General features: G+C 46.2%; 1 protein-coding gene across 1 annotated transcript in view, besides 2 other annotated features; it reads left to right on the plus strand.

Moving 5' to 3' along the window:
• The window catches only part of SLC24A3 (solute carrier family 24 member 3), a 510285-nt gene that overhangs the window by 462292 nt on the left and 31413 nt on the right, over positions 1–16580 (plus strand). The window contains exons 10-12 of the mRNA NM_020689.4: positions 6925–7058; positions 9243–9403; positions 10167–10428. Of these exons, the coding sequence (NP_065740.2) occupies positions 6925–7058; positions 9243–9403; positions 10167–10428 (557 nt within the window). The remainder of the gene's footprint in view (positions 1–6924; positions 7059–9242; positions 9404–10166; positions 10429–16580) is intronic.
• Positions 2675–3653: an enhancer, noted in NCBI's record as "NANOG-H3K27ac hESC enhancer chr20:19658252-19659230 (GRCh37/hg19 assembly coordinates)". NCBI's record gives its function as "activates a minimal SCP1, AML or CMV promoter by ChIP-STARR-seq in naive H9 embryonic stem cells {active_cell/tissue: H9 hESC(naive)}" and the evidence as "EXISTENCE:reporter gene assay evidence [ECO:0000049][PMID:30033119]".
• Positions 3654–4630: an enhancer, noted in NCBI's record as "H3K27ac hESC enhancer chr20:19659231-19660207 (GRCh37/hg19 assembly coordinates)". NCBI's record gives its function as "activates a minimal SCP1, AML or CMV promoter by ChIP-STARR-seq in primed H9 embryonic stem cells {active_cell/tissue: H9 hESC(primed)}" and the evidence as "EXISTENCE:reporter gene assay evidence [ECO:0000049][PMID:30033119]".

Raw genomic sequence — 16580 nt, forward strand, 5'->3', positions numbered from 1 at the left:
TCCCAGCTACTTGGGAGGAGGCAGGAGAATCGCTGGAACCCGGGAGGCAGAGGTTGCAATGAGCTGAGATCGCGCCACCACTCCAGCCTGGGTGACAGAGCGAGACTCCATCTCATTAAAAAATAAAAATAAATAAGAATTGTATGACCAATGTTTCCCATGCTGTAAGTTAAATGTAAGCACCATGGTGGTAAGCCTGCTGGTTCATCTTTTTGCCAGGCACCACTGGGATGAGGAGGTTATAAAGAATGCAGAGATGTTCTGTGCTGCAACTGCCCAACCCCGTGGGAGCTGCTGCTTTTCCTCTAAATTAGCCCATGTTTCCCCAACATATGTAGCCGTAGGAGTGACTGCCTTCTCTAGGGGCAAGAAAGTAGAAATCCATCAACAATGGCCAGTTTGGACATATCAGGTGGCAGTCTGGAACTGACACATTAAGGTTTCTTATTGTTGAGGCCTGACAAAAGTTAATTCTGGTGACCAGTGACTGAGACACTTGTTGAGAGAAATCAACACGGACATTGGCAAATATCACAGGAGCAATGAAGGTAGAAGCTGGCTTGGCCAGTGCCCAGGGTGGGCTGTAGGCAATCTGCTGCCAGTCTACTCAATATGGGGGCCAACATTTGTGAGGGGAGCCATCCAATGGTTACTGTAGACCCCACATCTGGAGCTTAGTGGAGAAGGGCATTCCTAGAGTAGGACCTTAGTCATACATATCCTGGTACCATAAGGTAACTAATGAAGAAACCAGAAGTTACACACCGTAGAACTAATCATTTAAAAATACCAATAGATGAGCTGTCATGAAAACCAGAGTTGATCCAAAGCCTTTCCAAACTTTCCAGCCCCCAAAGGAAAAGCCTTTAAAGATCAGAGTACCCATCTTATGCCTCTTTGTCTCAAAGAGCAAAACTATATAGCAAATCAGTGCCAAAGTGGGGAAGCCTCAAACTACTGTCTGTGTGTGTACTCACACATCTTCCTTTGCTGTTTTCTAGTGCATCGTTTCAATTTTTTAACATTTTGAGGCTCTAATTGAGCTCCCAAAAGTGGATTAGTTGATTATTCTGGAAGAATCGCCACACAGTGTCTGCTCTATGCCCAACATTAATCTTGGGTCTTGAATCTTAATTTTCATGAAAGTATGTTTCAAAATGAATTCACTAAGGGCTTCAGAGAGTTAAGTATTCTTCAAAAACAGATGTGGCCAGAGAGAAGAAGACTTGAGGAATTTTGCTGGCATGCATCTTATAGCCACTGCTCCCCTTTTCCAAGCCACCTTGAAGCCCATGAGTCGCTGGCAGGACACGTGTACAGTAAGATAGTACAGCGAACACATCCTCTCCTCTTCCCCAAACCGTACCAAATGTGGAAGCTAATGAGGTGTGTTTCTGCTGATGCCTCACTTTTACCAACATTCCAGCTGTTCAAACCAGCAGGATACAAATAAAACTGGGAATGGAAGCTACTGTGCTCATGAAATTTTCTGCATAAATTCTGGTCCTAAGTTCTAAATTGAAATCTCTGCTCTTTAGCCATCCCCCTCTGCAATCAGAGGCTTTAATCATTGGGTTTTATCAAATCTGATTTATAAAATTGCATGCTTCACAATAAAATAGCTTCAGGGTGCAAGCACAAAATTTAAAACATTCAATTAAAAATATAAAACAGCAACAGTAGTTAAGAAAAAAAACAGCATATATTAGAATCGTCAGCTGCCTCCTAGGTGGAGAGTTTTTAAATGACTTTAAACATTCTATCTGAAGGTCAAAAAGCAATTTCAGATTGTCCAGTTAGGTAGAAACCTTCAAGGAGCATAAAGCATGCCTGGCCTTGGCAAGGATTGCTTTCTGTACATCCCAGGTCACTGCTCTAGGATTTGTTCCCCAGATGGGGTATGTGTGCTGGTGGTTAAGAACCAGTGCCTCACATTCAGCCCTGACAGCAGAGCCCCCTGCCACTGACAGTCATGGGACCTCAGCCAAGTTCTTCAGCCATCTTGAATCTCAGTTTCCTCTTCTGCAAAACAAGATTAATAATAATTTCTACTATTATTATATATATTCCATGAGAACGGAATGTGACAGCTTAGTTAAGCTGTCAAGCTAAGTTAAGCTTAGTTTAACCTGGTATCCAGTTTTGAGAAAGCCCTCACTGTATAGTATTATTATCCTGTTCTCTAAACCCTGATAAATGTATAATACATGAGTTTGCTTTTGTACTTTAAAAGCAAAACCTAATCACTGGGCACTGTAGTGCATGCCTGTGATCCCAGCTATTCAGAAAGCTGGAGCGAGAGGATTGCTTGAAGCCAGGAGTTTGAGACTAACCTCAGCAACATAGCAAGACCCCGTTCCAAAAAAAAAAAAAAAAGCAAACCTTTATGCAAGTCAGTATTTCTTTCAGGGAAATGGAGTCTAAGTCAAGATGACAGAAACACTGCCTCTTTCCCTGTCGCTCTACAGGGCAAGGCATCCTTGTCGAATCTAGAAAGTGTGGAGGCCTTTTCACTAACAGGAATTTTGAATATATACAGGAGTCTGCAGAATAGTACGATGAACCCCATGCATTCGTCACCACCCCCAGCAACCATCAACCCACAGTTGCCCCATCCACACCCTATTCACTTCCCTTTTCTCCTATAATTTTGAAGTCCCGGACATCATACTAGTTCATCCACAAAAATTCCAGTATACATCTGGACATCTCTAGACACAGCTGGATACTCTTTTAGGATTCTTTTTTTTTTCTTTTTTTTTTTTTTTTTTTTAATTTTCATTTTTATTTTTATTGATCATTCTTGGGTGTTTCTCACAGAGGGGGATTTGGCAGGGTCGTAGGACAATAGTGGAGGGAAGGTCAGCAGATAAACAAGTGAACAAAGGTCTCTGGTTTTCCTAGGGAGAGGACCCTGAGGCCTTCCGCAGTGTTTGCCTCCCTGGGTACTTGAGATTAGGGAGTGGTGATGACTCTTAACGAGCATGCTGCCTTCAAGCATCTGTTTAACAAAGCACATCTTGCACCGCCCTTAATCCATTTAACCCTGAGTGGACACAGCACATGTTTCAGAGAGCACAGGGTTGGGGGGTAAGGTCACAGATCAACAGGATCCCAAGGCAGAAGAATTTTTCTTAGTACAGAACAAAATGAAAAGTCTCCCATGTCTACTTCTTTCTACACAGACACGGCAACCATTCGATTTCTCAATCTTTTCCCCACCTTTCCCCCCTTTCTATTCCACAAAACCGCCATTGTCATCCTGGCCCGTTCTCAATGAGCTGTTGGGCACACCTCCCAGACGGGGTGGTGGCCGGGCAGAGGGGCTCCTCACTTCCCAGTAGGGGCGGCCGGGCAGAGGCACCCCTCACCTCCCAGACGGGGCGGCTGGCCGGGCGGGGGGCTGACCCCCCCCACCTCCCTCCCGGACGGGGCGGCTGGCCGGGCAGAGGGGCTCCTCACTTCCCAGTAGGGACGGCCAGGCAGAGGCGCCCCTCACCTCCCGGACGGGGCGGCTGGCCGGGCGGGGGGCTGACCCCCCACCTCCCTCCCGGACGGGGCGGCTGGCCGGGCGGGGGGCTGACCCCCCAACCTCCCTCCCGGACGGGGCGGCTGGCCGGGCAGAGGGGCTCCTCACTTCCCAGTAGGGGCGGCTGGGCAGAGGCGCCCCTCACCTCCCGGACGGGGCGGCTGGCCCCGGGCGGGGGGCTGACCCTCCACCTCCCTCCCGGACACGGCGGCTGCCGGGCGGAGACGCTCCTCACTTCCCAGACGGGGTGGCTGCCGGGCGGAGGGGCTCCTCATTTCTCAGACGGGGCGGCTGCCGGGCGGAGGGGCTCCTCACTTCTCAGACGGGGCGGTTGCCGGGCGGAGGGTCTCCTCCCTTCTCAGATGGGGCGGCTGGGCAGAGACGCTCCTCACCTCCCAGACGGGGTCGCGGCCGGGCAGAGGCTCTCCTCACATCCGAAACGGAGCGGCGGGGCAAAGGCGCTCCCCACATCTCAGACGATGGGAGGCCGGGCAGAGACGCTCCTCACTTCCTAGATGGGATGGCGGCCGGGCAGAGACGCTCCTCACTTTCCAGACTGGGCAGCCAGGCAGAGGGGCTCCTCACATCCCAGACGATGGGCGGCCAGGCAGAGACGCTCCTCACTTCCTAGACAGGGTGGCGGCCGGGCAGAGGCTGCACTCTGGGCACTTTGGGAGGCCAAGGCAGGCGGCTGGGAGGTGGAGGTTGTAGCAAGCCGAGATCACGCCACTGCACTCCAGCCTGGGCACCATTGAGCACTGAGTGAACCAGACACCGTCTGCAATCCCAGCACCTCCGGAGGCCGAGGCTGGCGGATCACTCGCGGTTAGGAGCTGGAGACCAGCCCGGCCAACACAGCGAAACCCCGTCTCCACCAAAAAAATACGAAAACCAGTCAGGCGTGGCGGCACGCACCTGCAATCGCAGGCACTCCGCAGGCTGAGGCAGGAGAATCAGGCAGGGAGGTTGCAGTGAGCCGAGATGGCAGCAGTACAGTCCAGCTTCGGCTCGGCATCAGAGGGAGACCGTGGAAAGAGACGGAGAGGGAGACCGTGGGGAGAGGGAGACCGTGGGGAGGGGGAGAGGGAGAGGGAGAGGGAGAGGGAGACGGAGACGGAGACCGTGGGGAGAGGGAGAGGGAGAGGGAGACTCACTCTTTTAGGATTCTAAAAGGACTATTTTCTTTAACATAACCACATTATCGTCATACGTAAAATTAATACTAATTCCTTAATATCATAAAATACCTAATGTTCAAATTTTCAGTGGCCTCACAAATGTCTTTTTCATTGTTTTCTTTTAGTTTCATAAATATCATAAATATTTTAAAAATGAGAATTCAAATAAATTCCACTCATTAGAATTGGTGGCCCATGACTTGCTGCTGTGTCTGTATGTGTGTGCATGTGTGTGTGTGCATTTTCCTTGCACTTTGTTCTTTAATGAAGTTTGGCTGTTTGCTCTGCAGAGTTGCCCACGGTTGGAAAGCGTTGATTATATCCCATGATGTGGCACAGTCTGTTCCCTTGGCCTCTGTGTCTGTGTGTTGTCTGTGTGTGTATGTGTGTGCATGACTGGGCATCTGTGTGTGTCTGTGTGCTGTGTGTCTGTGTGTGTGTCTGTATGTGTCTGTGTGTGCGAGTGTGTGTCTGTGTCTGTGTGTGTGTCTGTGTGTGTCTCTGTGTGTGTCTGTGTGTGTCTGTGTGTCTCTGTGTGTCTGTATGTGCATGTGTGTGTGTGTGCATTTTCCTTGCACTTTGTTCTTTGATGAAGTTTGGCTGTTTGCTCTGCAGAGTTGCCCATGGTTGGAAACTGTTGATTATATCCCATGCTGTGGTGCAATCTGTTCCCTTGGCCTATGTGTTTCCTATATGTCTGTAATTGATCTGATTCAGGCTAGACTATGTCCCAAGTGGTGGTAAAGTTCCATCACCAGGAGGCACGGTGAGGTCTGCCTTTCTCTGTCTGTAGTGTTGGCAGCCGTCAGCATTCAGGTTCCATCACCAGGAGGCATGGTGATGTCTGCCTTTCTCTGTCTGTAGTGTTGGCAGCCATCAGTGCTCAGTGTCTGCATCCATTATTTCGTTTGGGTTGCAAAATAGTGGTGTTCTAATTCTACGCTTCGTGTCTTATGAACTACAAATGACACCCGTCACTTTGACTAGTTTTCTGTTCTCTCTCATGCAATGTAGTAACTGCACGTTCCTAGAGAGTACAGGAAAGAACTCATGGATGAGACGGTCCAGCCACAGAGGACCTCTTCGTCTCTCTGAGGTCTTGTTGCCATAGGCCAGCCACCTCAGAGCTGTACCCACTGAAGAATCAGGCACAAAGGAGATAGCTGGGAGGGAATCCAGAGAGCTTCATGTCTGTAGCAGCAAAGAGATGAGGAAAGGGAAGAGAAACATAGGTTGAGTGGCCTTCCAGCTGGCAACTTACGGTCACCATGCCTAACTGCCATGCCTATGGGAGGCCGGAGGTCAAACTGGAGGTCCCCAGTGGGCTGTCCCATGGCCAGTAAACGATGGAGGGGGGAAAAGCAGTAGCAGCCTTTTGTGACATGGAAACTGTGCCTGGCTGTCTTTGCCCGTGAGTTTTTATGAGTTTTCTAGGATTCCTCTGTGGGAATCTTCTCATACTAAAGCTAGGGAGACTGTAAAAAACCATCCTCGGAACTTGTACAAGCTTCTTCCCTTCCCACCTCAGCCTGCTGGGGCATCTAAGGAACACTGCACAATGTATTCACTTGATCATTCTGGAGGATAATAGCCTAGAATTTTTTCATAAAGCTAAGGGCCCATTGGATCTGAAACTTAGGCACGATAGTCATAGAAATTTGGAGAATCCCAACCCATGACCTCAGGAAACCAAAGCCATACAGAGACCTAGACGGCCAACCGGACTGTAGCACATAGACTGTGACACACAGCCACTGTTCCTGGGGAGTGGTGTGGATGAAGCAGCTTCTCCTTCTCCCAAAAAGCTGGTCCCTGATTACAAAGGCCCTGGAGATGTGGCCCAGAGAAGGTAGACCTTGACCATCCTACTGAGTCTTAGCACAGTCCTTCCATGTGCAGACTGAGAAGGGGAGCTCAATCCCAGAGAGGCCCCCACTGGCATGAAAGAGGTGGCAAAGTAAGCAATGTGCCCATGTGCTCTGGTTTATTTCTATAATGGTGGTTTTCTTTTCACTTACCATTTGTTCATAAATTGGGAAATGGGACAGGCTTGTATATTCTGAGGGGGAATGGGTTGAGAAAATTAGAACACTAATAACTTGAGGCCTGGTGACTGTGCATGCAGACTGGGAGAGCTCTCAGAAGCACTTGGTGGGAGTTGAGAAATGGGAGAATGGAAAACACTGATGGACTCTGCCCACTTGTCGCTTTGCTCAGATATAACGCTTGCATACATCAGTGCTTTGAGAGGAGGACAAAAGGTGCCGGGAACATGGTCAACGGATTGGCCAACAATGCTGAAATTGATGACAGCAGCAACTGCGACGCAACTGTGGTGCTACTTAAGAAAGGTAACCAAGGAGAGCACTTTGGGGTCCAAGGCAGGAGGATCAATTGAGGCCAGGAGTTCAAGACCAGCCTGGCCAACATGGCAAATCCCCATCTTTACTAAAAATACAACAAAATTAACCAGGAGTGGTGGCCCAAGCCTGTAATCCCAGCTGCATGGGAGGCCGAGGCATGAGAATCGCTTGAACGCAGGAGGCAGACGTTGCAGTGAGCCGAGATTGCTCTACTGCACTCCAGTCAGGACAACAGAGCCAGACCCTATTTCAAAAAAAAATAAAAGAAAGAAAGAAAAGGTAACCAAGGAGATATTGTGTGTGAGAAGAAAGTGCTAGAATATGAGCCCATCTGCCCACTCTCATAGCCACACATGGCATGTCCCAGCTGGCCTTGAGAGGGCACTCCCTGCCCCGAGAGAGCAGAAGTTTCCAGTCCTCCAACCCTCCCTTTCACTACAATGTCATGGAGCCATCTCATACCTGGTAAGCCCCTTAGAGCTCAGAAAGCCCCCTGGAAATTCCCAGGCAACACATTTGCTCGAGTGCTGCAGAGAACAGGATGGCAAAGGAAAGGAGACCCTAGGTTCTGAGATAGGGTTTTGGTTGTGTGACCATGAAGCAGGTTATGTAACCTCTTGAGCCTCAGTTTTCTCTTCTGAAATACGAGAATCATTTTTGTAATAAGCAAAGTAGATAAATATGTGTCAGAGTTTAGTGCAATGCTCTATAAATGACAGGTGTTATTAGTATATTACTAGATCCAAATTCACTTTAAGGCTACATTAACTCAGTTTCCAAGCTGCAAACAGAAATAGAAAAGTGCCTTCCTCTTCAAAGTAATTCTTGTATTCAGTCGAGTCTTACAAAACAGCTGAGACACTAAGGGAAATTAGATGGTGCTCTCAAATATATAATATTTTTTCTAAGAGGAACTCAGAAAATAATCATTTAATTTTACCTGGAATGTGTTTTTTACTTAATTTTTTAAACTTTTCTCTTGAAATATGGGAGTTTATTTTTTCTTGGTCCCATATGGTTGCTTTGCAGGAAGAAAAAAAAAGAAATTAGAAAGATTATTTTCAAATACATCTATGGGTTATTTTCAAATATATCTCTGACATCACTGCATCATTAGATTTTCAAAATTAAATATTTGATATATTTTTCTGAATGATTATACATATGTTTAACAAATGACTTAGGTGATTTAGTACCATTTCACATGAGGATTTTATTTAGTTTCTTCTCTTCTGGGTAGTTTATAACCGTAAAAGGAATATGCTAAAGAGAGCTACCTAGTATTAGCCAGTGTTTCCAGAGATCACTTCATGCTTTAGTGGCTTGGAAAACAGGAGCTAGTATTACAAGAGGCTGCAGCCAAGTACCCTTGAACTGTGTGCATATACAGCTCATTCATAGAGAGGGAGCTGGACCCTTCGTGCAACATTATTTTTTAGGCCTTCTGGTGAACTATCACACAAGATTTGTCCCAAGCACTCTTCTGACCTCGGTTCTCTGTAACATGAACAACTCACCCAACACTTGTCAGCTCTGCTCATAGACTGGGCTGAGGGAATGTGTACATTTCACCACCATGTCCTCCAGTGCAGAACTGCACTAACGTCAATTCAGTAGCATTTAACAGCTCAGTATGAATATTGCTGACATTTGAAGGGCATATAGGGTACAAAGTTCTTGGAGTCTTCTCTGTGCCCCAGATCTGAATGGTGGGAAAAGAATCCTTTAAGGACAAGGAGGAATTCTCTTATGGTATCATTAATTCTTACCATGTCAGTGAATGAGGCTTAAATTGTTTCAAGTCCTTTCAAAAGATTTAACATGAACACCCATGGAAAGGAGATTTTGACTCTTGTTCAAAATTTGCTCACTGCAACCCTTCCTGGCTGGCTGGATGAATGGAAAGAAGGAAGGAAAGAAGGAATAAGGAAAGAAGAGTGGATGGATGGATGGATAGGTGAGTTGGATGGATGGAAAGAAGAATGAATGCATGGATGGGTGGAAGGAAGGAAGAAATAAGGAAAGAAGAGTGGATGAGTGGATAGATGGATGGGTGAATGGATGGGAGGAAAGAAGGGAGGAAGAGAAAAGAAGGGAAGGAAGAATAAATGAATGCCTCTTTCCTGCTCCTGGCCTCCATGTTATTTTACCTTATGTTTTTCGTTTCCCTAGCAAATTTCCACCGCAAAGCATCAGTGATCATGGTAGACGAGCTGCTGTCAGCCTACCCACACCAGCTTTCCTTCTCTGAGGCTGGCCTTCGAATCATGATAACCAGCCACTTTCCCCCCAAGACCCGGCTCTCCATGGCCAGTCGCATGTTGATCAATGAGGTACCTGGGAAAGCACTGTCCACTGCCCACTGGACAGGGGTGGGAAACTCTGGGAAGGAGAGAAGGTTTCTTGTTTGAAAGAAGAAGCACCTAACTCAAAGTTTAACACCGCAGCATCCCTCAGCCATTTCCTAATCTTAGTTCCCTGGGCCAGCTGTATATCTGGCCCTTGCTCTTCCCTCCACGTGTTGAGACATGGACTAATTTCCATTTATATAGAAAACTCCCCTGTTCCTTCTCCCTTTCACCCACATTTTTCTTCTATTCTTCCATTTGAATAAAGCCCCCTGATATGAACTTGCACAGAAATTGTTTCTAACTAAGGGTTACCTTAGTTTAAAGTAATCCAGAGTCCCTGACTTGAATTTTGCTGTGCATTCCTTTTCTGGAATATAGCCTTATTGATACACTAGACCAAACACAGTTGTGCAGCTTTCTCACATAGGGACCCAGGAACTCCTGCAGTCTGGGGAAGAAAGATGACATCACAGTGCACAGAGTGTCAAGGAACTGCACATCCCCTAAGAACTTTCCTCTAAAGGGATTTGCAAGTTCTGATGGGTCATAAAAGACTAATCTTTCCTCCCAGATGGAAGTTGTCTGGAGTTGGTTATCACATTGAGAGGCCCCTTAAAACTTGACTCCAGGGTCTTCTGGAAGCATATCGTCAGCTGCCAGGGAAAGATCCCAACAGCTCATGTTCTGAGTGTAAGGTATTTGCAATCCCTCTGACCGTGGTAAGAGTGCGCCTTTCTCTTTCCAGAGACAAAGATTGATAAACAGCAGGGCTTATACCAACGGGGAATCTGAGGTGGCCATCAAAATCCCAATTAAGCACACCGTGGAGAATGGGACAGGGCCCAGCAGTGCCCCAGACAGGGGCGTGAATGGGACACGGAGGGACGATGTTGTGGCTGAGGCTGGCAACGAAACAGAGAATGAAAATGAGGACAATGAGAATGATGAGGAGGAAGAGGAGGACGAGGATGATGATGAAGGACCGTACACACCATTCGACACCCCCTGTAAGAGGTTCTATGTCTGGGCTGGGGTTGGGAGCTATTTTGAGCCACTGAGTAGATGCCCTTGACTTAGATTATCTTTTTACCATTCAATTTTTTAAAATCTCTGTATGAACATGAGACTATGTATATCAAGTCTCCTTTGGGCAGGACTTTGTTGTAGAAGTTCAAAGATGGCCAAGATGGGGGTCCATGATCATTGCTTGAAATGTGAGCTCTTTAACCAACTCTGTTTTGTGGAAGTGTTACTGAAATGTCAGGGATTTGTTCTAGGTCCTGCTCATCAGTACACAGAAAGCCAGTCACTGAGACAACGAATATTGCCAGGGAAGAAGGCTTTAATCAGGTGCTGCAGCTGAGGAGATAGGAGATCAGTCTCAAATCCATCTCGCTGACCAACTGCAATTGGGGATTTATATAGCAGGGAAGGAATGTAGCTACCTTCCAGCAAGCAGGAATTAGGGAGAAGTAAGGAAGAGGAATTGCTCCGCAGGAAATAGGCAGTCCATCAGGCATCACGATGAAGGAGAGATCTGACTCCTCATTGTCCAGACACAATGATCTGGTGAGTTTCAGTTCCTTGATGCCATCTGGGAGGCCTAAGGGTCCATTTCCTGAGAAAAGAGCTCAGGGAAGACAAATGTAAGTTTCGCAAGTTTTAAAGCTGAGAGAGAGTCAGTTTTTATATTAATTCAAAAGAAACTATAAGCATCAGTTCTATGGGACAGTTGGGCTGGTTTCAGGGGACGGTCTTATCTTACTTAGCTGTTCTGCAGGAACTTTTGGTATGAAGGAAGAAATGCCCATGACCCGTGTGGGCAAGGCAGCTTGGTGCACAAAAGGAGAGGCACGTCACTCACCTCCACCCATCCCATTGCACCTAGCCGGGAGAGCTGTCCTGCCAAGGCCAGCCTGGTGGATGCCAAGGCCTGAAGAAGCTTTCAGGACCTCAGCCACCAGGGTGGTGTCCTCCTCTCCCAACTGCTGCCTCCAACAAGGACTTGGTTGTTCCAGAAACTGTTTCACCCCACCCCACCCATTATCAGAGCAGGTGGTCCAAGCCCAAAGAATTCAGCCTATTTGCTGGACCTTCCAGAAGCTTCTGGCTGTTTCAGGGAAGAGTACACTAGTTTGATTCACATGGACTGTCAAGTGTGTGAGGCTCAGTATACATGTGCAGCAACCTCTTCGGGATGTTTGAATGTGCAGGATTATCTGAAGAAACGTTTGATTGACTTGAAAGCCCATTTAATGATAGGACATGGTGCCGAGTGTCAGAGTCCTGTGTTAATTTTGGATGCGCAGGGTCTTGCTGTGCTCCAGGGGAGCTCCTTTCTGTCCAGAGGACAGCAAGTAAAACTTGAACCAGAGATGCCCCTGTGCCCACTCAGGGCACCCAAGATCTCAGCCTCTTCAAGAACTTATCAGAAAATATTCATCCAGATTCCTATTCCCCCAGGTCCCTTACCTCCCACCCAAAGCTAAATCATTACTTGTTAGTACATTATCTTCATAGAAAAAATGTACACTCGTTCTTTATCCATTTTGCCACCATCAGATATATTTCTTGGCAACCTTTCCTATCAACCAAGACAAAAACATCTTAAGGATTAAATGGCAAAACACTCCTTTCCTCCCTTGTAAACCCTTCCATTCATTTTCTGTTGCTGCATAACAAAATGCCACATATTTTGCAGCTCAAAACAAGACCCTCTGATTAGCTTACAGTTCTGTAGGTCAGAAGTCCTGCTGGATTCTGTCTCACAGGCCGTAATGAAGGTGTAGCCAGGGCTACATTCCTTTGCAGAGGCTCTGGGAGAAATCATTACCAGGCACCGGTTCATTGCGGCTGTGCAGGTCCTTGATGGCTGTCAGCTGGGGATGTCCCACTGTTCCTAAAAGCCACAGAGCCCCTCCACCTTCACCTGGATGTGTGGAGCTCTTCCCGCCATCATTCCTAATCTCTCTGGCTCCCCTTTTGCTTTTGAGGACTCTTTGCAGCTAGATCAGGCACCTGCACAATCTCTCTACCTAAAGGTCAACTGTGCCATACAACACAGCAGAATCACGAGGCTGATAGCTCATCCCACTCACAGACCCTGAGAATCTTAGGGACCTGTGTCTAGAATTCCACTTACTCAACCCCTGTTTTCAGAGTCCGCCATTAGCTGGCCATAACCAAGCTCCAGTAATGCTTATTTCGCTAAAATCTTTCACTAATTAAACAGTCGAGCCAGTGGAAGTTCTGTAAGTGACCAAGTTCTATGTTAGCATCTTGGGAGCCCAGAATCCCCAAGTGCACCCCTCCAGGGGACAATGAAAGATGTGTGTGTGAGATGAGACCAAGTCTGGCCCAGTGCCTGGGCCTCGTTACTGATTGGGACCAAGCACCCCTTTCAGATCCCTGGTTCCGTATTTCTCTCCTGGATGAGAGCTAACTGTGGGGTTTCAAGGTCTTTGAAACTCGTGCTCGCCACCCTCTGTCTCACTGTGATTAGGTTGCAGATGATGGAGGCCTCAGACCTTCCAGCCACACCTTCTGGGCTCCTGTGTATGAGGAGACATGGCTGCAGGCATCTCACCCCCAACAGATGCTTCACCTGAGGCTCAGGAACCCCACATCCCCTCCTGTGTCCTTCCTGAAGCACAGACAGGAGAGAAGAGACGATACTCTGTGTGGTCGTACCATCCCGTGGGGTCTCCATGTCATTCAAGGGCTCCCAGCTGCCAAGATAGAAAGCAGAATTCCAAGTTCTTCTCTAGCAGCCCTTCTCACCAGGGCTTCCTTAATGAAATGCACGTTCTGATTCAGGAGGTCTAGGGTGAGGCCCGAGTCTGCATTGCTAATCAAGAACCGGCTGCCCCCCATCCTGTGACACTGACGCTGCTGGTCTGTGTGCCACACTTGGAGCACGGAGAGGCTAGAGACCTAGAGGCACTCAGCAATCTTCCCAGTTCTTCTAAGATGCGGGAAAGCCTGATTCAGAGCCCGGGTCTGCCTTTGAAAAGAGTGGGCTCCCCCAGTTACAACTGTCTCTTCCCCTCCACCAGCTGCTAAGGAATCCCAGGCCCAGAATTAGGAACTCCATTTTAAGGCAAGGGGACTGAATGTCCAGCCAGGCCCGCTTCCTGGGGCAGGCAGGCCTCTGCTTATGGGTGAGAAGCCTGTCGGGTGCTTCCGGCCAGCAGAGGGCATTGAGAAGCCAGGGAGTCAGTTCTGGGAGCCCCAGATGGGTTCCTATCAAGTCAAGTTCCTGTGGACTGAAAAAGATCCGTCCACATGATGAGGACATTTTTCTCTCTCATAGTCATTCTGCAAGGCATGAGTACCCTGTTTCTGGCACCCAGCCACAGTGCTTTCTTCTCTCAGGACTTGACTATAATGGGTATGATGATTACCAAGAAAGTAATTATTTAGGAGTATGTGAATACTGTTGTGAGTTCATATATGTACATATATGTACAGTGTGCAATTTAAGATTGATATAACATAGTGTTAACATGCACATGTATACTGTGTACACTTAATATATTGTATGCATGTATAATATATGTGCAGATATTAACATATTTATGTTTATATATGTATATACTATATTATAGGTTATATACACACAATATACACATATACATCTACACTTGGTATATGCACATACATACATATAAACGTGCAGCTATTGTTATCTCTTGGGTGAAGAAAGCCTTATTGTTGACAGACAGCAAAAGAAACCTTTTCATGTGTATGTAGGTAAACACATTTCCATGGGAAAGAAAAACTAGAAGGAAATACACCAAAATATAAGTAGGTTTTTCCAAAGCAAAATTATGTTTTTTCTGTATTTTTTACTTTAAAACAGTGTACATTTTTATTGCCGATATTATCGGAACAAATGTATATGTTTAGGTCTAGGTCTAAAATACTGTGCAATAACTTTTTCTCTCTTTGATAGAATTCAGCTTTCTTCAAAGCTGACTGAGGAACATAATTTAGAAACAAATCCTTTTGCTTGTTAAAGCCAAGTCCAACTCAAAGGGATACTATCATGCTTACGGGCCAGCTCCGGCCCCTGGCTTCAGCTCTCAGTTGCTGGCTGACTTTTGTGAAATCAGGTAATCACCAACACATCAGGTCCATGGTCAGGGAAGTTTTTTCTCTTAATTCATTGCTGTACCCCCAGGACCTGCAGCAGTGCCTGGCACAAAATGGCATAGAGGACATTCACAGATATTTATTAAATGAATGAATGAAGAATAAACCTATCCCCCTTGTTGCTCTATTTTGACCCAATGGTAATAGAGCAGAAGATGGAAAAATGTCCAGAAATGTTGTTGACTCAAAGAGGAAAGGAAACCTTTTTAAACCCTTTATTCAGAAATGGAAATTAAGGGCTGGGCGTGGTGGCTCATGCCTGTAATCCCAGAACTTTGGGATGCAAAGGGAGGATGCGGATCACCTGAGTTCAGGAGTTGGAGACCAGCCTGGCCAACATGGCAAAACCCCATCTCTACTAAAAATACAAAAGTTAGCCAGGCATGGTGGCACACGCCTGTAATCCTAGCTACTCAGGAGGCTGAGGCAGGAGAATCACTTGAACCTGGGAGGCAAAGGTTGCAGTGAGCTGAGATTGCACCACTGCACTCCAGCCTGGACAAAAGAGTGAGACTCTGTCTCAAAAAAAAAAAAAAAAAAAAAGGAAAATTAAGACCAGCTAAAATGTGGGTGATCTTTATTTGACTGCCTTTGTTCCTCAAAATCATTTTTAAAAAACACCTTTATATTTGTTATATTTGCTGCATTACATTTAAATATATGATTCAGATAATGCTCATTGAATTTCTGCTTTTAAGGTTCTGTTGTTACAAAGGGGCAATAACTTAAAGAAAGCATATATGTCATTGAAAATGATGTTTTCCAGATATAATGCCCTCCCAGTGTCCAGTCAGAAATTTTTAAAGCAGTTGATAAAAACTCAAAATTCACTGGCACTAACTTACACTTCTTACAACTTTGTCTAATCAATATCATTTTCCAAGCTCTTGCACTCGTAAATTCTGACTTCATTTTTTTCTTCCCTCTTTTTTTTTATTTTCTGAAGAATGTGAAAGAGCCAAGTTGGGATCATTTCTCTTCCTCTTCCTGTGTTTCTTCGTAATCTTTGATTGGGTGTGTATTTTAAACTAAACCGAGTTACTCTGTCCGTTTGAGGGCATCAGCCATATGGAAGGCCGTTGAGGGGATTCTAGGAGGTTCCACATGGGTAAATGCCTTATCAGCACATTGCGGGATTTAGGAATGTGCCAAATTCCAGGATGCATTTGGGATCCAAAGAGCTGGCCATATCCTGGATTCTGCAGCATCTGGAAGCCCCTCTCCAAACAACTCTCAGCCAGGCTTCTTGATTTACAAAGCAAGCACAGTCTCTATGTTCTCATCATTCACTTGACCATCTCCAAAGCTTAAATCTAACAAGACTCATAGCAGCTAATAGGAAAACACTTCTCTTTTCTTACTATTTTTTTTGTTTGTTTGCTTTACTCTGTACTTGTAAATTGGATAGCCTTAGATTCTCAAAACCAAGTAATTTTCTTTGGTCTGTCTGATTAGATTGTTCATAATAACATTATTACTACTACTGTTACTGATATTTACTGAAAATGCAATATAAGCCCTGCACTATCCCTGCCTTTCAATCAGGTGCTAAACAAGTGAGAAGACCCCTGTTCTCATAGACTTTATTCTAATTTGAGGGAGACTGAAAATAAATTAAGAAACAACCCTGATGGTTTAAGACAGGAAATATTCGCATGAAACAAATAAAAATATTTGCTATGAAACAAATAGAAAAGCTGGAGTGAGATGATGAGAGTTATATTTAGATTTATCTGAGGGCTCAGTGACATTCGAGCAGTGAAGTGGCCTGCGTGACAGGGCAGATTCTGCCATGAGAAGATCCAGGCAGAAGACCTGCGAGGGCAAAGTCCTTGAGGCAGGAAAAGGCTTGGAGTGTCTGAGGACAGAAAGTTAGCCAAGACCAGGGAGTATGTGAGCAGGGAGAGTGGCAGGTGCGGCAAAATCAGGCAGTGCCTTACAGACCATGGTGGGGAGACCTGATTTTACTCTAAGGGCAGTGGAGGCCAGTGGAAGGTTCTAGAAC

This window comes from Homo sapiens, chromosome 20, assembly GCF_000001405.40.
Source record: "Homo sapiens chromosome 20, GRCh38.p14 Primary Assembly".
Classification (NCBI taxonomy): domain Eukaryota; kingdom Metazoa; phylum Chordata; class Mammalia; order Primates; family Hominidae; genus Homo; species Homo sapiens.